The 20,432-nt window shown below is 42.4% G+C and overlaps 1 protein-coding gene, 1 long non-coding RNA gene and 1 pseudogene across 4 annotated transcripts in view, besides 1 other annotated feature; 1 reads left to right on the top strand and 2 right to left on the bottom strand.

Moving 5' to 3' along the window:
- Window positions 2,605–2,694: an enhancer, noted in NCBI's record as "active region_2470". NCBI's record gives its function as "activates an Ori minimal core promoter by ATAC-STARR-seq in GM12878 lymphoblastoid cells {active_cell/tissue: GM12878}" and the evidence as "EXISTENCE:reporter gene assay evidence [ECO:0000049][PMID:35858748]".
- On the bottom strand, window positions 5,151–6,477 carry ADORA2BP1 (adenosine A2b receptor pseudogene 1; annotated as a pseudogene).
- The window catches only part of HSD11B1-AS1 (HSD11B1 antisense RNA 1), an 81,204-nt gene continuing 69,036 nt past the window's right edge, over window positions 8,265–20,432 (top strand). Inside the window, exon 1 of the long non-coding RNA NR_134510.1 lies at window positions 8,265–8,330. This is a non-coding gene — a long non-coding RNA (HSD11B1 antisense RNA 1). The remainder of the gene's footprint in view (window positions 8,331–20,432) is intronic.
- Window positions 15,898–20,432, bottom strand: part of HSD11B1 (hydroxysteroid 11-beta dehydrogenase 1) — a 48,751-nt gene continuing 44,216 nt past the window's right edge. For all 3 annotated transcript variants that reach the window (NM_001206741.2, NM_181755.3, NM_005525.4), the window contains 2 exons: window positions 18,248–18,391; window positions 15,898–16,523 (listed from right to left, as the gene is read on the bottom strand). In NM_001206741.2, coding sequence (NP_001193670.1) covers window positions 16,306–16,523; window positions 18,248–18,391 — 362 coding nt within the window. In that variant the 3' untranslated portion in view covers window positions 15,898–16,305. The remainder of the gene's footprint in view (window positions 16,524–18,247; window positions 18,392–20,432) is intronic.

The raw sequence follows: 20,432 nt of genomic DNA, 5'->3' as shown, positions 1-20,432 counted from the left end.
TCATCTCTTGGCACAGCCTCAGTTAAACTATCCTAATTATTTCACAAATGCCTTCACATTCCAAACTGAGATATCTTCCAGAGACTTTTCTATACATTTTATACATTTCTACACAAACCTTTAGAATCTGTTTTATACTCAGTATGATTTATCATCCATAACAAAGAATATTAAATTGATGCTGTAACACTGAACCAAACTGATTTCACCAAAAGTGCTCACATATTAGATTGCCATCAGCACTCCCTGCACACGCCCTCGCCCCCGCCTGCAGAGAGAAACTTTAGGGTTTGCTTAGAAAACTAAAGGCAGATGGACAGAGAAATGAGTTGGAAAGCATTCGGATTTTCTTTTTTTTTTTTTCAGATTTATACAAATTTTAATATAATATTACTAAAAGATTTTTAAAATAGAAAAATAATTATCTTAACCTACTACCCAAAGACAAATTAGTTTCATATTTTTCACACTACCTTCTAGTTTTTGATAATATGCATTTCTTTTTAATAATATTTTAAGCATAGTGAAATCTACATTTTTGTAATATGTAATTATATGAATTGTGTGTTTGTTTTTTCGCTTAATACTATATTATAAATATTTTTTGCTTTTACATTTTTTCCATTTTTTTAGCTTTCACATCGTCATGGTCTTTCATAATATTAGTGTACCACAACGTGTTTAGTAATTTCCTTATCATTAACCAGTAGCCACGTGACCCAGCATTGCTCAGGATAATAATTAGCCACTGGCAAATACAATGCAAATACAACTTAATATACATAATAAAAATTAATATGTTATAATAATTTTCTGTAATTGTAATAATTCAGAGCTGTGATTATGTTTAACTTTGTAACAGGATTACTTTATCTATCACATCTGTCATCTATACTTCAAGACTGTTGCTCACTCTGAAGCTGTCCTGAGTGGCAGCCTGGGGCTAGATGGGCAGGGACACCAGAAGTCAGACTGCCTGGGTGTGAAGCCTGGCTTTGCCCCTTACTATCTGTTTGAGCTTAGAGTGCATGAACACTACGTTTGAGGTCTTTGCATCTCAGTTCCCTCCTCTGTAAAATGGCTATAACCGATAATATCTACTTTACAGAATTGTTATAGGATTACCAGATATAATACTTGTAAAGCATTAAGAAATGTGAGCTATCACTATTAGCAACACCTGCAATTTGGAGCATCTGTCTTGTGATTTATTAATGGTTATGATGAAATGGACTTGCAGATCTGTGGCTGTGTGAAAATGGAGTAGTTTCAGTGAGTCAATGCATTTTGTCTGATCTAAACTTGTAAGTTTTAAAACTCATTTAACTAAGTTTTTTAAAGAATGTGTCTTGCACTGTTCTCCATGGAAGAAAAACATTTGAAGTGGCTCGTAGTGTTTCTCACTGTGTGTCATTTAAATTCCATTTTAAGTTAGACCAAAACAAATGTGTTCTGACTAATAATGAGAATCACAATAGCACCTGTCTCATAGGGCTCTTTTGATGATTTAAATTAGTTAATATTCAGTAGAATAGTTCCTAAATATAGTAAATACTATGGAAGTGTTTGGTAACACAATAAAGTAAAAATAAAAATATTCCAATGTTGCAGTGAAACTCGTTTTAGTTTGCATGATATAATTAGGAATTTTATTCATGTGGAAATTATATAGAGGAATTTAATTTTATTTAATTATATGGAGATTTTTGTCATTTCTAATTTTTAGCTTTTACAGATAATGCTGCCAATGGGTATCTTCATGCATGCATTTATTTGTTTTTCTTCTTTTAAAATACTTTCTTTAGGATAAAACCTTGGAGTGGGTTTGCTGGAGAAGTTTAGTGAAGAAGTAGGTTAGTTCTGAGAGCAAAGATTTCCAGGAAGTGGGTGGGAGGGAATCAAGCTGGGCTTTAGGGCATGGTGGAGATGGCAGGGTCAGTAGAGCTGGAAGGCTCTCTCACCAGCTTGAGAGCTCAGTGCATTGGGTGTCAGCAGGGGGCAAAAACAGCGTGGTGTAGGGCAACAGGCAATGACTGGAATCCAGTGAGCTGACTTTTAGATCCGTCTCCGCCTCTCTGTTGAAATGCAAGGCTGTTTTGCCCCTGTGGGTCTCCGTTTCTTCTAAAGCCTTTCCCAGTATGAGGGTCTATGAGTTCTTTATTTCTTAAACATTAAATACCTTCTAAATGCCTAAAATTGCACTCAGTACTAGAGATGCAACAATGAGTACAATATAGTCAGTATCTTCTCTTAGTTACAGACACACAAGGCAATTTTCAGGTAAATTTAAAAAGTGTGATAAACTCAAGTGATAAACAAATACAGAAAACTGTAGAGGCATGGGATAGAGGTGGGAGCTCACTTGCCCCAGCCTTGAGAGGTGGACCGGGTGGAAGGGAAGGAAGTTTTCCTGGAGGAGGTAATGGTTGGGCCTAACCTTAAAGGAGGCCCAGGAGTTAACCATGCAATGGGGAGAGTGAAGAGCGCTCAGGGCAGAGGAGATGGCATGGCCAACACACAGTGGGATCATCAGGGTGCTTCAGAGGACTGGCAGTTCTTTGTCCTTGGGGAATCAAAAGCAAGGCAGGTGGCCCGAGATGTGGCTGGAGAGGCAGCCAAGGTCGTTGTACATCACTTTAAAGCGTTTGGGTTTTCGACAGACCATTTTACCCAAGAGTGGCTTCGAAAATGTGCCAGCTTCCACTCAAGGCCAATCATCTGTCCTGATTTTCCCATATCTTGACAGCGCTTTCCCCGCGAGGTTCAGAGCACCTTGTTTTTGAGGGTGACCACTAGCTGTCGCTATTGAACAGGTCTAGTTCCCCACGGCTCAATGCCAAACGTAGGCCCCAGCAGCCGGGCGGAGTTACCGGACGCCGGAGTCCAGCCCCGCCTCTAGGTCAGTTCAGGGCCCTAAGCGATGACTCACTGGTAGGCACGCTGGTGTGCAGGTGGTGGCCGCCCTGGGGTAGAACCTGATACGCACTGGGCAAGGAGATTGCGTGAAGCGTGGTACACCACCACATTCAGCCACGGGGTGGCGCTGCCACCCTGACGGCCCAAAGGGAGGCCGGCGAAGAGGCAAAGTCTTTCCTTAGGACAGCCTTGCTCTTTTGTGGTCCACGGTACTGTTCAAGGACGGTGTGAGGGAGCCCCTGACGCACACCACCCCAGCGGTCCCGGGGCAGCGAGTCGCTCAGCAGAGAGATGCTCGAACGCTCTGTCATTGTGTCCCTTGGGCCTCAGCCCCTCATTGTTAAGGGTCTTTTGGGCCAGTCCCCAGTTTCCACCCTCTGATTCCAGGTTATGCGGTGTACCAATGTGTCCTCCCCTAGGGTTGCTGTTTCCTATCATCCTTCCCAGAAAGCCTCCCCAAATCAGCCAGTGCTCATCTGGTACTTTTCCATCTTTTAAAAATTGATTTTTTGATATGCAGTCATGCATAGCATAATGATGTTTTGGTCAATGATGGACCGTATATACGATAGTGGTCCTATAAGATTATAATATTGTATTTTTACTCTACATTTTCTATGCTTAGATATGTTTAGATACACAAATATTTGCCATTGTGTTACAATTGCCTGCAGTATTCAGTATGGTAACATGTTGCACAGGTTTGTAGCCGAGGAGCGGAAGGTATACCATGCAGCCTAGGTGTGTGGTAGGTTCTATCAGCTAGGTATGTGTAAATACACTCTATGATGTTGGAACAATGATGGAGTCAACTGTGATGCATTTCTCCGGTCTTATCCCCGTTGTTAAGCCATGCATGACTGTACATTTACATAGTGAAATAATGGCTACAGTCAAGCAAGTTAACATATTCATCATCTCACATAGTCACCTTTTTTTTTTATTGTGGTAAAAGTACGTAAAATCTACTCTGTTATTTCCAGTATATGATGCAATACTATTAACTATAGTCCTCGTGATGTTTCAGGAGTTAAAGATATGCCATTCTGGCATATTGACTATTTGAGTTAAGGGCACTTAAAAAACAGCAAGTGCAAGAAGATCACTCTGACCTTTGAGCTGTTTCTTAAAAGCAGATGACATTCTCATGGGAAAGACATCCTCCCTGTAGTAGGAAAAAAAAAGGAACAGTCTTATCATCAAGGATGAGAAGCTGAAGCCAAGAGAAATCTGTACAAACAAACCTTGTTAAACTAACCCTTATCTTCCTAGTTGCATCTCTACCCAATTAAATACCCTAGCCCAAGCCACTTGCCTTATCACATTTCACAGTGTGCTATTCTTTGTCAAATTCAGTATACTGAGTTTGTAACTGACTCTAACTGCTTCTTTGGGTCTTTATTTCCTTATGAGGTTCTCCTGTGCCATGCAAAATTTCTATTAAATAAATTTGTTTGCTTGTCTTCTGTTAATCTGTCTTATATCAGTTTAATTCTTGGGCTCAGCCAGGACTCTCTGAGAATGGAGGTGGAGTTTTGCTGCCCCTATATTGTACATTAGATCTCTAGGCTTATTTATTTTACATAACTGAAACTTTGTGCCCTTTGACCGCTGTCTCCCCATCATCCCTGTACCCCAACCACCTTTCTACTCTCTGTTTCTATATATTCAAGTTTTTCTTTTTTTTTTTTAAGTGAGATAATGCAATATTTTTCTTTCTGTATCTGACTTACTGGAGCTCACCCTAAGCCAAGGGAAGGTTTGTCCCATAACTCACGTCCCAAAGGACTAATTAAAAGCATAACATATGCTGACTTCTTTCTCTAATACAACTTTAGAGCCATAGCCTCCAAAAGGGGACGTGCAGGAGAACTGCTAGGATGGGCAGAATATTGGAATTTCTATTTAATTAATTTAATTTAATTTTTAAAATGTTTTATTTTTATTTCACCTAATATGTACACATAGTTATATAATTTTGCTTAGTGAAAAGTTCATGTTTTAGGTTCCAAGAACTTGGCCAAACTTGAACGCTGGAGAGAAGCGAAATTCACTCCCTAGCTCTGGAAAGGGGAATTTGGTAGAAGACGGATCTCATCCTTCCAATTTCTTCCCCTCAGGTAGTTTTCTGTATATGGAAAAGAACGGAGCTTAAAATTATTACGTGTTGACAATTCTACTTAAGAACTTAGGAGACTATCATTTCCTCAAATTAATGTGGCAGTTTCTTGATTGAAGAATTATACTTTTAATTTTCCTGGCTGCCTTCTTAGAAACAAATACACATTTTTAGTACAGGCAACTTTTATTGTTTCATTGCCTCTAAGTTAAAACATATTTGCTTTATAATAGTTCACAGTGTTTCAGAGTAAAATAGTTTGTCATTTTCGACCATAAAGGAGGCAGACTCTAAAACAAAACAAAACATGCTTTTAGAATCCATTCAAGCTGTCAGCATCATCAACACAGTAAGAGCAGCCAAATAGAACCATAAATATATTTGTCAACCCTTGGAGCCTACTAATAACAGGTATATATTACCTAGATATATGGTAGCTCCAGGGGAGTGCTCAAAAGAGGCAGCCCATGTGCTTGGGAAGTATAGCTATCTTTCACAATGAGAATCAGCCAGTCACGTCCTGTCCCATTGTTTATTATGTATTTATGTCTTCTCCTCAAAGAGACCAGAGCCTGCTTCACAGGCCACACTGAGAACAGGCTGTGCCCTGACCTGCTCATTCCCATTATTGAGTTCAATCCAGCAGTGAACATACCTGTAAATAATTTTATGAAAAGTATAGCAGGATTCTCTGTTCCAGTGGTTATAGACAATGGGATTGACAATCAAATTTGCATGTGACAAGAGAATGGTCATCTTCCTTGCCCACTTGGGCTTATCTTTAGCCTGAGCTAGCTGAAAAAGAGTGACACAGTCCATGGTGCGCACTGGTAGCGAGCACAGAGCAAACATCCCCACCATCACAGCCAGCGACTTGGCTGTGTATATCTCCCACTGGAGGGTGGTCCTTGAGTGGTCCATCAGCTCCGTGTACTAAAGCTGCCTGCAGTCACTGTGAAGAACTTGATGGAGATCAGCCACATTACGAGCAGTGGGGGCAGGACTTACCCCCCAAAACTGAAATATACCATGTAACTCATGGGTACCGCATTCTGAAAGAGACACTTCACAAGGCAGCAGCTTTCATTCATGGTTCCATCCCAGGGCTCCATGCAGTTATTAGAGGTACTGTCTTTACTGTTCCACTCCAGGAATGGGGTCAGTCCAGTGCCAAAGGCAAGGACCCAGAGGACAGCAGTAACCCCTCTTGTTTGGGTCCCAGTGACTAAACTTTTATGCCTGAGCCGACTGTGGCTGGCCAGGTACCTGTTGATGGCCATGGACAGGAGGCTGAAGATGGAGCTCTGTGTGAGCACAAGCATGAAGCAGGCAAGAAAGAGGTGGCTGTGGAAGTCAGTGCAGAACCCAGGCTGATGATGATGGCAAAGGGGAAGGCGAACAGCCCCACGGCCACATCAGGGAAACCAGGAAGGAGTTGGTGGACAACCGCAGTGCACTTGGCATGCCAGCCCTAACACCACGAACGGGTGTGCCCTGCACCTCCAGCAGCATGGCCCGGCCAGCCAGGCTCCAGGCCTCATCTACCTGGGCCCATGGCCCATCTACTAGGGCCTCATCTACCATGAGCCTCACATGGGACAGTTGTGTGTGCCCACACTACGCGTCTGCCAGCCGCATCTCTCTATTTATTTTTAGCTTGTCCTTTTAAGATTTCAATTTCTGCCTATGTTTTATGCTAGCAAATATTATATGCATATATTAAATAAATAGTAACTATATATCTATTAGAAGCACATATGCTTAATCATTTTTTTCCATCTTGGGGATCTTTTGAATTCCCCAAGTGTAATCATGTTTTAATAATGAAGTATGCGATCAAAAGCTTTGGAGAACCCTCCTCTAGAGAGTCTTTGATCCAGTCATCCTTTGAAGTTTGCCGTGGACTGTGCTCTGGGGTGGGTTTCACATGCTGGCCCAGAGTGGTCCAGCCAAGGAGAAAGGTCCTGTCAGTGTGGAGAATAGTAGCACAGCAGCTCTTGAGAGGGACTTGTTGGTGAGGGGGGACTTAACTATCCTTGAGAAGGAGATGTCTGGAAGAGCAACTTGGATGTCTGTCCCCTGTGCCAATGTGTGCTCCTCCTCTGAGGTTACCTCCTCAGGGCTCCCTCCTACTGATATCTAGGCCTTTTCATGACATTCTTTACTGAAGAGAGGGAATCACAATTTGTCAAAGGGAAATTTGCAGATGTGGGAGGCCTAGGATTTCCTCCAGCATAGGTAGAACTGTGGTGTCCAAGTAGTACCTTGCAAATGGTCAGTGTGAGTGGATGCTGTCAGCATGCTTAGGAGGCTGATGTCTTCAGACCTGTGTCCTTCTGCTCTGACTGTATCTCCCTGCTTCTCTGGTGATTTATACTTATGACAAACACTATTGGTTGCTGAATAGAACCACAGTTTTGTTTGGCGTGGCAATGTGCCCAGTTGAAAGCTCCATTTCTCAGCCTCCCCTGAAGGGAACAGTGGCCACATGCCATGGCTGTGGGCCGTGAGATGTAAGCTGAAGTCTTTGGATGGGGCCTCCCAGTGTGCTCATTATCAGGGGTCAGAGTCAGCTGGTGTGCATCCTGTACCCTTCACCTTCCTCCTTCTCTTGCCAGAAACACTGAGTGATGCTGAGGGTGGGGCCACTGTCTTGTGAACATCCAGCAACAAGGAGGAGGATGGAGAGCTGAGTGGAAAGACAGAAGGAGCCCAGGTCCCCGAAGGCCCTAGTCAGCTCCACCCAGACTTTTTGTTAGGAGAGGAAAATAAGTCTCTGCCTGATTCAGCCAGCCACTGTCAGACAGTTGGATTTTCTGTTACTCCCAGGGGAATGCAGTGCTAACAAACTTGAAAGTCATGACTGCAGGTCTCACTGACACCTTGGTCAAGGCTGTTGACTTCATGCAGGATGCTGATGCCCTTAGAATGGAAGAGTGTGAGCATCCCATGTCTTCAGGAGCCCTTGCTGCCTCTCCTTCCCTGGCAATTGTATTATAGAATGTAGATATCTTGTCACTGCTAGTCAGCTTGGCCACGCTTGCTGACAGAAAAAAAAAACAACAAAAAACAGAAAACGCCAATTTGACTCATGTTATCAGAGTTTGATTTCAAGTCCTGGAGGAGGAGAGAGTGAACTGTCTCCTTAAGAATAACGAATTCTGTCAGGAATGTGGAAAGTGAAAGTCATGATGATGTGCTGGAGCCAGTACACAGGCTTGAGAGAGCCGGGGGTGTCCATCTCTTCCCAATCCACATGCCGTGATGTCCTGTTGGTGACTCGAAGTTGGCCACAGTAAGAGTCTTTACATCATAGATACAGGCAAATGCTACAAATCAGCGAATTAAGGCTTTGTTTCTTCTTTTTCTGGAGAGTTAGTTGTTAAACATTTGTCAGCACAGCCCTGGAAAAGACCAAAGTTTTCGTTTAATATTAACTCATAGATACTGGCTATTAGTTTTCATATCTTCTGCTCCCCTAATGCTATGGAGGGGTGAATAAGCCCAAAATTAGCAGAATCAGAGAAAGGCTGCTTTATCCTGAACACGGGCTGAAACCTTACAATATCTTTGGGCCTAAGAAGAACTCTTACATGTTCAGACTAAAGGCAAAAACTAATTTTAACTTGACTTTGGCTATCAATTTGTCACCTGACCATGTTTCTGTCTCTGTACTCATTTCCTCACCTCCTAATCAGCCCTCCCACTCCTGTCCTCTTGACAATCTGCAGGGCCTTGGCTCCTGCAAACCTGCCTTCTTCCTGTGTTTATGTGACCCTCAGAAGCTCCTGATTCTGGGTCTGGTACAACAGTTTATCACTTGCATCTAGATACCTCATGATCTTCTCTGGCCCACACGTATGTGCCAGGTGCTCCTCTAGGTGCTGGGGGCACACTGAACTAAACAGAAAAAACTCCTGTCCTCATGAAACCAACATTCTAGCAGGGGGAATGTGGCAGATGGTACTTTCTAAAGATGGCTGCAGCAATTTTTAGCCCATCCATCCCACATGCTCTTCTTACAATGTGACAATGACAGTCCTCCATCAACAGGTGGGGTCTGTATTCCTTTTCCTTGAAATGAGGTGCATCTTCAGAAGTGCTTCGACCAAAAGTGTATGGTCAGTCCTGAAAGGCAATATAGCTTCTGCCTGGCTCTTTCTCTTGGGACACTTGCCTTTGGAGATCTCAAGTCCTCCAAGCAGTCTGGCAACCCTAAAGCTGCCATTCCAAGTGACCATGTGGAGAGATCACACAAAGATGAGAGAGACTCCTGCTGTGCCCTCCCTGCTTAGCTCCAGGTGCCCAAGGAGCCAGGCACCTAAAGTGCCCTACCTGTTTCAGAGTCCAGCTGTTCATGTCTTCCCAGGGCAGGCACAATCACGCTTTTAGGTGATTCTAGTTCCTGACCTTTGAGCCACCCAATCTTGCTGAGTGGAGCAGAAATTAACTATCCCTGCTGAGCCTGCTCAGACTACAGATTTGCAAGCGAAGCGAATGTCATTTTATGTTTTAAGCCACTGAGTTTTGGGATGATTTGTTATGTCACCATAGTAACTGGGACAAGGACAGATAATAAACAAGATAAATGACCAACAATATAGATAATAATAAGTACTAAGGAGAAAAAACAAGCAGGGAAGGCAGACATAAAATTTCAGGGCAGGCCTGGCATGGTGGCTCATCCTTGTAATCCCGGCTCTTTGGGAGGCCAAGGCGGGTAGATATCTTGAGTTTACGAGTTTGAGAACAATCTGGGCAACATGGCAAAACCCCGTCTCTACAAAAAATACAAAAATTAGCCAGGCATGGTGGCACATGCCTGTGGTCCCATCTCTCTGGAGGCTGAGGTGGGAGGATTGCTTGAGCTCGGGAGGTAGAGGTTAGAGTGAACTGTGTCATGCCTTGGCACTCCAGCCTGGGTGACAGAGAGAGACCCTGTCTCAAAAAAACAAAACAAAAAGAACATTTCAGGGTGGGTTTGAAATTTTATTTAGGGTGGCTAAGGAATGCTTCATTGAAAAGGCAACCTAAAAATTTTTTTTTTAATTTCCATAGGTTATTGGGGAACAGGTGGTGTTTGGTTTCATGAGTCAGTTCTTTAGTGGTGATTTGTGAGATTTTGGTGCACCCATCACCTGAGCAGTATACACTGAACCCAGTTTGTAGTATTTTATCCTTCACCCCCTTCCCACCCTATTCCCCTGAGCCCCCAAAGTCTGTTGTGTCATTCTAATGCCTTTGTATCCTCATAGGTTACCTCCCACTTAGGAGAGAACATACGATGTTTGGTTTTCCATTCCTGAGTTACTTCCCTTAGAATAATAGTCTCCAATCTCATCCAAGTTGCTGTGAATGCCATTAATTCATTCCTTTTGAAGGATGAGTAGTATTCCATTGTGTGTGTGTGTGTGTGTGTGTGTGTGTGTGTATATATATATCACAGTTTCTTTATCCACTCGTTGACTGATGGGCATTTGGGTTGGTTCCACATTCCTGCAATTGTGAGTTGTGTTGCTATAAACATGCATGTGCAGATATCATTTCTGTATAACGACTTATTTTCCTCTGGGTAGACACCTAGTAGTGGAATTGCTGGATCAAATGGTAGTTCTACTTTTAGTTCTTTAAGGAATCTCCGCACTGTTTTCCATAGTGATTGCACTAGCCTACATTCCCACCAGCAGTGTAGAAGTGTTCCCTCTTCACCGCATCCATGCCAATGTCTATTATTTTTTGATTTTTTTGATTATTTCTTCAGGAGTAAGGTGGTATCACATTGTGATTTTGATTTGCATTTCCCTGATCATTAGATATGTTGAGGATTTTTTCTTTTTCTTTTTCTTTTTTTTGAGACAGAGTCTCATTCTCTTGCCCAGGCTGGAGTGCAGTGGTGTGATCTCGGCTCACTGCAACCTCCACCCCCCAGGTTCAAGTGATTCTCCTGCCTCAGCCCACTGAGTAGCTGGGATTACAGATGCTGCCACCATGCCTGGCTAATTCTTGTATTTTTGGTAGAGATGGGGTTTCACCGTGTTGGCCAGGCTGGTCTTGAACTCCTGACCTCAGGTGATCTACCCAACTCAGCCTCCCGAAGTGCTGGGATTACAGGCATGAGCCACCATGCCTGGCTGATGTTGAGCATTTTATTCACATGTTTGTTGGCCATTTGTATATCTTCTTTTGAGAATTGTCTATTCATGTCCTTAGCCTAGGAAAAGGCAACTTTTTGAATGAATCTGAAGGAAGTAAGGCAGCTGGCCATGTGGTATAGAGAAGTAGAAACATATTTTGCATGCTCTGGAATAGATAGGAGGCCAAGCGAGGCCTCTTGGAGTGCTTGAGCAATGAGGGGAGAAGAGAAGGAGATGCCGTCTCAGAGCCAATGAGGACCGAGATCATGTAAGATTTTTAGGTCTCTGTAAGGACTTTGGCCTTTACTCAGAATGAATGGGATAATTATGGGTTTTGATGGAGGTATGACTTGATTCTGTTTTAATTAGATCACATTTGTATGTCAGGATTCCTGGAAGTAAAATTCTGGGTCAAGGAATGTGTATCCCTTGCCTTGCTTCTCTTTGTGGCCCAAGATTATGGTAATATTATAATCATAACATTATGATAACATCATAATCTTGGGCCACCAAGAGAAGCAGGGCAAGGGGTACATATCCCTGTATTAGGGATCCCTAATACAGGGATTAGGTTCCTAGGGCTGCCAAAGAAAGTACTTCCTCTATTAGGTTCCAAAGGCTGCCAAAGAAAGTACCACAAACGCAGTGGCTTGAAACAATAGAAATTTATTGATCCACAGTCCTGGGGGCTAGAATACTGAAATCAAGTTGTTGACAGGGCCACACTTCTACTGCAGCCTGTAGGGGAGAGGGCTTCCTTGCCTCTTCTTGCTTCCTGATAGGGGTTTTCAAGCCTTGGTGTCCTTTGGCCTGCAACTGCATCACTTGCATCTCTGCCTCTGTCATCACAAGGTGTTGTCCCTGTGTGTCTCTGCCTTTATGTGGCCTTCTTCTTAAAATGATGCTAGTCATGTTGCTCACCTGAATCCAGTGCAACCTTGTCTTCACCTAAGTAATTATATCTGGAATGATCTATTTCCACATAAAATCATGTTCTGAGGTTTTAGGGATTAGAGACTTAATATGTCTTTTTTGGGGACACGGTTCAACTTGCAACACTGCCAGTTTGAGAATCACAGGTGTATTCCTTGGAAGAGAGCTGTTCCTAATTTTCTCAGGTCTTACAATAGTGCCTTATGCTAGTTAGCTTCCCCATTCCATTCACATGGAATCCACACATCCTCATTCCATGAGTGTGTGTGTGTGTGTATAACTTATTAACATAAATGGAATTATATTATGCATCTTTTTAAGCAACTTGTTTTATACACTTAACAGTATGCCTTGGAATTCCTTCCATGGATGTACATATAAATTGACTTGATCCCTTGTTACCATGACACAGTGATTTCATAATATTGAATTTAATTCCTATAATTTAAACATTTCCCTATAGGTAGACATTAAGGTTGTTTTCAATTGTCTTGGCTACTACAAATGTAATATTTGGTGAAGGAATTTCTTTGTGGGAAGAGGCTATTTTTGTTAAAAAAGATGTTGCTGGATAGCCTCAAACTAGAGTCAGAATCAACTGTGCATAATAAATTTATGAGGGAGAAGAAGGAGGCTAGAGGCTGGATTCTCTGGGGGGTCAAAGTCAGATTAAGAGGGGAAGCTTAGAGGAAGCACTTTGAGGGCAACATGGCCAAGGGGGATCTTTTGAGTTAAATGATGCACACCGGGCTGGGCACGGTGGCTCATGCCTGTAATCTCAGCACTTTGGGAGGCTGAAATGGGAAGACTATTTGAGCTCAGGAGTTTGAGACCAACCTGGGCAACATAACAAGATCTCATCTCTACTAAAAATAATTTTTAAAAAATCAGCCCAGTCACGATGGCCCATGCCTGTAGTCCTAGCTCCTTGGGAGGCTAAGGCCAGAGGATTGCTTGAGCCCAGGAGTTCAAGGCTGCAGTGAAGCCATGATCATGCCACTGCACTCCAGCTTGGGTGACAGAGCAAGACCCTGTCTCAAAAAACAAACAAACAAACAAACAACAAAAAACAAAACAAACAAACAAAAAAAATGATGCACACTGAATGAATGTAAACTTAGTCTTCCTTCTCCCCTCTGAGATATGCTACCTTGCATATTGCAAACACTACCTTGCTTACTAATACTTTCAGTGAGAATATAATTACTTTTGGAACCTACAAAGAGAAGCTGAATTTTTGTGTTAATATGGGCGAGAAGTGAGTGATGCACATCTGGATTTCACGTAAGGATGTGAAAATGGACGTCCTTGGATGTATATTTTTGAGCTCGTGATAAAGTGAGCTAGGAAGGCTAGGTTCTTTTAAGTGGAACTAGTCCAAAGACAAGGGTCATTGTACTGCTGGTGCCACTGAAATTGGAACTTGGCTCCAGCTGCTGGAACCCCTGCCAGTCCTGAGAGATGAGACAGGTATTTAAGGGACAGGGGAGCCAGGTTAGGAACTGGATGAGGACCCCTGAGACGACCTCTTAGGAAGGACTTGTTGAATGTTGGCTCCCTAAAAAAGACCACCAAAACAACCTGTTGATAAGGCAAAGCTGGAGTCTTGATGGAGTCTTAGTAGACTCTGAGAGTGGAGAGGGTAAAGTCAGGGTCTTTATGGGGCTTTGAAGTCTAGGTTAAGGCGAGACTTCAGCATGGTGACTTTATTTGAATTGGATAAGGATTGTGATGCCATAGCTGGAGACTGGTGAACACAATGAAGCTGGGGTTTGGAACTAAGGGTTCCAAGCAGTCTTAAAGAGTAGCAGTCATTTGATGCTATCTGTTGAAAAATTCAGCACTTTTAAATGGGCTTGCAACATTTATCTTCTCGGACAAGAGTTTCTTGGAATAGTAAAGTCATGCTGATAAAGAGAATGGAATGTTAAAATCATGTTAATGAAGACAATAAGCTATGTGGGTGTAGATGGTTTCAGTTCTCAGACCTACTTTTTGAGATCTTCCCCTTTGGATTCTGAAGAAAGTCTCATTTAGAAAGAGGTTTAACCTCTCCCCAAGCAAATTCTAACTCAGCTTTAATATTATCTCTACCCTTGAGTAAAGGAATTACTTCACTTCATCTCACTGTGAAGAAGGAGTCTCATTTCTACAAGAGACTGAAGGGTGTTAATCTGATTGATCAGAAACCAGGACATATATTAAGCCACGTTGCAAGTGTGGGTGCATTTCATGTCAGAAACCAGACTACATTTTTTGGCCCTTTTTGTTTTGTCTTGTTTTTGCACATGGATGCAGCCAGGTCTCTCCTGCTCCCTTGCACTGAGCATAGCCTTGGAAGGACCTCTAAGAAAAGTGCAGCCACATTAGCAGGCTCAAATCCAGCCCTTTGTCCATGTGGCTGGCAGGCTCAATAGATTCCAATATGTTCTGCTGCCCAGCCATTTAGATTCAGAGGTGGGAAAAGAAAATTTCCCCTGCACTTTTAGGCACATGTCTCATGTCCCAGCATTACTTACCATGGAAGCTGTATGTTTGGGAGTGTTGGGGTTCCTGATGGATATACTCCATTCATTTCTCCAGAACACTCTCTACCCTTTTCCATCTGCTCTGTACATGGGGAAGCTGACCTGTATGGTCTATACCTATCTGCTCCCTTGCCCCTCTGTTCAGCTAATGTGAAATGCTGGCCAGAGATCAGAGGGAGGGAAGAGCGTGAGGTGAGGCTAGGGTGTTTTTTCCCCTAGACACCTCCTTCACAATCCTTGGTAGGCTAGCTGCATCTCTTTTTTTTTGAAATGGAGTCTCGCTCTGGCGCCAGGCTGGAGTGCAGTGGCACAGTCTCAGCTCACTGCAACCTCTGCCTCCCAGGTTCAAGCAATTATCCTGCCTCAGCTTCCCAAGTAGCTGGGACTACAGGTGTGCACCACCACACCTAGCTAATTTTTGCATTTTTAGTAGAGACGGGGTTCCCCCATGTTGGTCAGGATGGTCTGAATCTCTTGACCTCGTGATCCACCCACCTCAGCTTCCCAAAGTGCTAGGATTACAGGCGTGAGCCACAGCGCCTGGCTGGTTGGCTGCATCTCTTAACTAAATGTTACAGCTCCTGCCATGTGGTGCTCTCCATACAGGTCTTCACATCTTGAGGTTTTGGTAACAGGTCTCTTCTCTTGTCCCTGTGGGCCTTACGATGGAAACAGCTGCAACTAACCCTGAGATATCACTATCTTTTGTGATTTCCCTGTGCCTTGCCCCTTTTTTTATTAAATGCTACTAAAATTACCCAATTTGAGGGTGTCATCTCTTACTTCTTGGGCCCTGATCAATATAGGGCTTTGCTGAGTTGTTCATCATGCTGATGTTTTGTTTCCCATTTAATCATAGTTAGGTGATGCCTAATAAGTGCTTACTAAATATTTGTTGAATGAGTAAATGTCTAAATGAGTGAGTGGCAGGATTTGAACTCCAACTCCCCCTCTCCAAACTTCCAATGCAGAGTTTAGTGTTCACATGTAAAGTACAGATGCTTGATGTCCTCTGAGAGCAGTAAATGGGCATTGGGTCTGTGGCTCAAGTTTCTGGGACCTCCATTTTCCTGGGTTTGCCCTAGTTCCTTATGCCTAGGTGTCTTCTTTCCCAGAGGAGCAATATGCAATAATATGAAGAATATCAGAAATACACAGAAAAGGTAAAGACACAATATTCCCCACCAAACAAAGATTAGGGTGATTTCTTCCACTCAGGAAGAGATAAAGAGTTCAGACCACAAAATAAGAAACAAATATTGAAAAATTTCATTTGTACAGTTTATGGTTTTAAAGAAACCATCCTGAATAAGCTCAAGTTATAGCTACCAGTTATGAATTTATAAAGTTTATGTGACCTTTATTATAATTAATATTGTATTAATCATCACATATTATTATATATAAGATATAAATTTAATATAACTATCTGGTAATTATACCTATGTTTACTAACAATTTTACAACTGCTGGCTGCAGCGGTGCATGACATTCATTATTATTACATTTCCATTTTGCAAATGTTAGAGGAACTCCTTCCATTTGTCAGGTGTGACCCATGACTTGCATGTCTCTGGGGACACTCTGGGAAGATGTCTTCATAGATAAGAGCTCAGATAAACATGAGACAGAACAGTCCCAAAATCCCTCAGCATGCCCAGCCCTCAGGGAGTTCCTACTTGTTTATGAATCTGTCCATATTATAGCTCGTTGAGTAGAGAAATTCCAGGATCTTCCTGCATGGATTTCTGATCAGAAGAGTGGTCCAGAGTGAGCTGTCATAATACACTTCTTCTTGGCGCAGAGCTCCCCCTTTGATGATCTCCAGGGCACATTCCTCCTTTGGAGCTGCTTGCATATGGACTATCCCAGAAACTGCCTTCATGGCTGTTTCTATAGAATGACAAGGGAAGAGTAGGGTTATCTGACTAGGACAGTCTACATGATGGAAGGCCTGGAGACATCAACCACTTAGCTGTCAGGGGCTTTTGGCAGTGTTTGCTCTGCAAGCCTCACAGGCACTATAGGGAATACATGGAGAGACTGGGTATGTTAGAGTCTGTTGGGCAAAGAGAGGCCTTAGTGTTAATAGGGGCCTTGCCTTCCTGGATGGAGATTGGTGGGAGCAGTTAGAGGTGATTACTTGGGAGATCTGAATCATGCTTCTCTCTTGGGTATTTTGGTTGGAGGCGGAGAAGTAATATGGGGGAGCAGAATGAGGATAGAAGTCTCATAATGACTCAGTAGCTAATGGGAAGTGCCAGTGGGAAAAACCAGAGTGCTGTATGATAATGACTTACTGTCTTGTAAAAGGAAGAGATACACAAGAATACAGGCTTTTGCTCCCTTGTCACCACTTTCACTTCTCTCCCCTTCCAAGTTTTCATGTCCATCTTGCACAACTTCTCTCTCTCTCTCCATTCCTTTCTTGTTTCCCCCTGGGTCTCGGTCTCTCTCTCTATTTCTCTAACTGTTGCTCAATTACTCTTCAAAGAGCATTTTCTTTTAATATCTGCCACATGTTTTAGATAAACTTGTATTTGGACTTAACAGAAAAGTTGTAAAAATTGTAGGCCGTACCCCCTTATATTCCACACCTGCTCCCCCTGGTTGCAACACCATATATAACCATTGTGCAATGATTTAGGACAGGTATAATAATAGAATTGATACAATATATTAACTAAACTACAGACCTTATTTTTTCACTAATGTTCTTTTTATGTTCCTGGATCTTATCCAGGATTCCACTTAGTAGTAATTTCTTCCCATTTTTCTTCCAATCTGTGACAGTTCTTCAGCCTTTCCTTGTCTCTGATGGCCTTGACACTTTTGAAGAATACTGACCAAATGTTTTATAAAATGTTCCTTGATTTGGTTTTGTTCATTGTTCTCTTATGATTGGAGTGGGGTCATGTATTTTGGCAAGAACACCACCAAAATGATGTTGTGTTCTTCTCAGAACATCACATCAAAGAGTTCATGATACCAGTGTGTCTTATTACTGGTGCTGCTTTTAAGAAACACAAACTTGTATTTTGATAAGTCTCATATAGAAACGTAATGGCCATTGAGTGTCCATGAGGACATAAGGTGTTCAGCAAAGGGTTAAGTGATGAATGTGGTGAGACTCAGCCACCTTGGTAATCAAAATGGAAAGGAGAGTCAAAGAGTAGCCAGAGCCTCCACTAGTGACAGAAATGCCTTTAAATGAGAGAGCTAGTGCTTTCTGCACTGGTTTGTTTTTAGTGCATTACACATGAGGTCAGGGAGTTCAGCACCCTTGTTTATCCACAATGGTAAGGCAGACAGTTCATCTGCAGGTCATTATTCAGAGTATTAAAAAACCAAACATCGCATGTTCTCACTCATAGGTGGGAATTGAACAATGAGAACACTTGGACACAGGAAGGGGGACATCACACACTGGGCCTGTTGGGTGGGGGGAAGGGGGAGGGATAGCATTAGGAGATATACCTAATGTAAGTGACGAGTTAATGGGTGCAGCACACCAACATGGCACATGCATACATATGTAACAAACCTGCATGTTCTGCACATGTACCCTAGAACTTAAAGTATAATAATTAAAAAAAAACACAAAGTATTGACCTTACCTGTGTCTATGAGGCCAAGAACACAGAGAGTGATTGATACATTGACCCTGGACACTGAATATTCCTTTCTGATGGAGGAGAAGAACCCATCCAAAGCAAACTTGCTTGCAGAATAGGCAGCAACCATTGGATAAGCCACTTTCCCTAAATGACAGATTAAAGAAATGGGTTAATAAGGCTGCCCATTTCACCTTCTTACAGAGCTGTAGTAGGCTTTGTAACTCCTATGGTGTCCTTTTACCCCTTTGAGTCTTAGTTTCTCTATATTCCCCATGGAAGTTATACTGCTGTGTTGAATTTTGAAAACATTAAGGTATCGAAGGCATAGGGTGGGATTGGGCTGCAGGACAGCCTTCATTGAAGAGGGACTGTTTAAGCTTTTAGTAAGGGTGATAAACAAGCTGGGCTACAAAAGAGCCATGTAATTCCACAGCTGCTAACTCTTGCATCTCTGAACCAAGTGCTGGGGATCCAAGAGTTTGACTAGTTATCTCTGCCAACTTGGTGACCTGTTGGCAATGGAAAGGGTATGTTTTACTTTCCTTACAAAGGTATTAAAAAACTGCCTGTCCTGGCCAGGTGTGGTGGCTCACACCTATAATCTCAGCACTTTGGGAGGCCGAGGTGGGCAGATCACTTGAAGTCAGGAGTTCGAGACCAGCCTGACTAACATGATGAAACCCCATCTCTACTAAAAATACAAACATTAGCTGGGCACATGCCTGTAGTCCTAGCTACTCGGGAGGCTGAGGCAGGTGAATCGCTTGAATTTGGGAGGCGGAAGTTGCAGTGAGCTGAGATCGCGCCACCGCACTGCAGCTTGGGTGACAGAGAGAGACTCCATCTCAAAAAAACAAAAAACAGAATCCTGTCTTTGCTTTTCTACCCAAAGCCGCTTTTTAAAAAAAATGTTCACCAGACTGGTTAATTCTCACTCAAGTTGTTTGGAGGATATGTGGACATATGCCTAATAGGATAAACTATTATTAATACCCTTTTTAGGAGGGGAGAGTAGAAGTGACCTGAGACCCTATAGTCTTTACCGAGCATTGTTATAGCAACTACTTTAAAATCCATTGTCTGCTAATTCCAGAATTTGGGTAATTTTAAGATTGATCTTTATTGATTTCCTTTCCTCCTAAGTATGGGTCATATTTACTATTCTTGTATGGGTGTTAATTTTGTATTGTATCCTGGATATCGTGAATGATACATTGCAGGGTACCTGGATTCTGTCACATTCCTCCAAAGAGTGTTGATTTTTTTTTTTAAGTGGCCAGTTAACTTGGGTGAAACTCTGTCTCTTGTAATAAGTATCAGCTGCAATCTCTGTTCAATTATTTGAATCTTAACTTGGCTGCTTGGTTTCTGCATTGCCCATGCATTGTTCAGAGAACAACTAGAGATTTGGACAGAGCTTATGTATAGGATTCAGTGTTTCTCCACTGTGACTCTCCTTTCCAGCATAACCCCTTTGCATTCCAGCTATTACGGTAACCCCAACCTCTTCCTTCTAGCTATTCATGTTGGCAAGATGGCAGGTTTCTATCCCAGATATGGCACTGATTGGGGTTGCCCTTAGGCCTAAAGCTATACAATTGAGAAACTCGCCTACTGTCATTTCCTTCTTCCAAGTGTCAATAACCCTCCATTTTCTATCTGCTCTTGGTTAATCTCCAGTGCTTTCAATGGTTGTCGTCGATATTTTGTCAAAAGCTTATAGTTGTAATCTGGGGAAGGATGGTCTTTCGGGTGCCACTCTTGCAGTTATCGGAATTGGAATTTCTATATGTTTCAAATATAATATGTTGTATGTCAAACCAATGAAGAAAGGATGGGTTATTTAATAAAGATGCTGAGAAAGGTGGTTAACTTATTGGAAAAAATTAACTCTTTGTTTTATGTCATATAGCAAAAAATATTCTAGATGGAAAATGATAGTAAATAGTGTTATCTACCCAATATCCATTCCTCCTTCTTTAATAATAGAGTCTGATTTTGTTCAGGACAGCAACGTAATCATTTTAAAATGCTCATCTCCCTGAGATTTTCTTGCCGTAATAGGCCATGCAACGTAATAGTTCTGGTCAATGAGAAATCTAACAGATGAGGTTTCTAGGAAAGATATTGATTTCCAATAAATTAGATGGATTCAGGTGGCATGCAACTTTTACATTTTGCCCTT

The sequence above is a fragment of the Homo sapiens genome, chromosome 1 (assembly GCF_000001405.40).
Source record: "Homo sapiens chromosome 1, GRCh38.p14 Primary Assembly".
In the NCBI taxonomy this organism is placed as follows: Eukaryota; Metazoa; Chordata; class Mammalia; order Primates; family Hominidae; genus Homo; species Homo sapiens.
The sequence above is the reverse complement of the archived record's forward strand: the minus strand, read 5'-3'. Positions and strand labels throughout refer to the sequence as shown.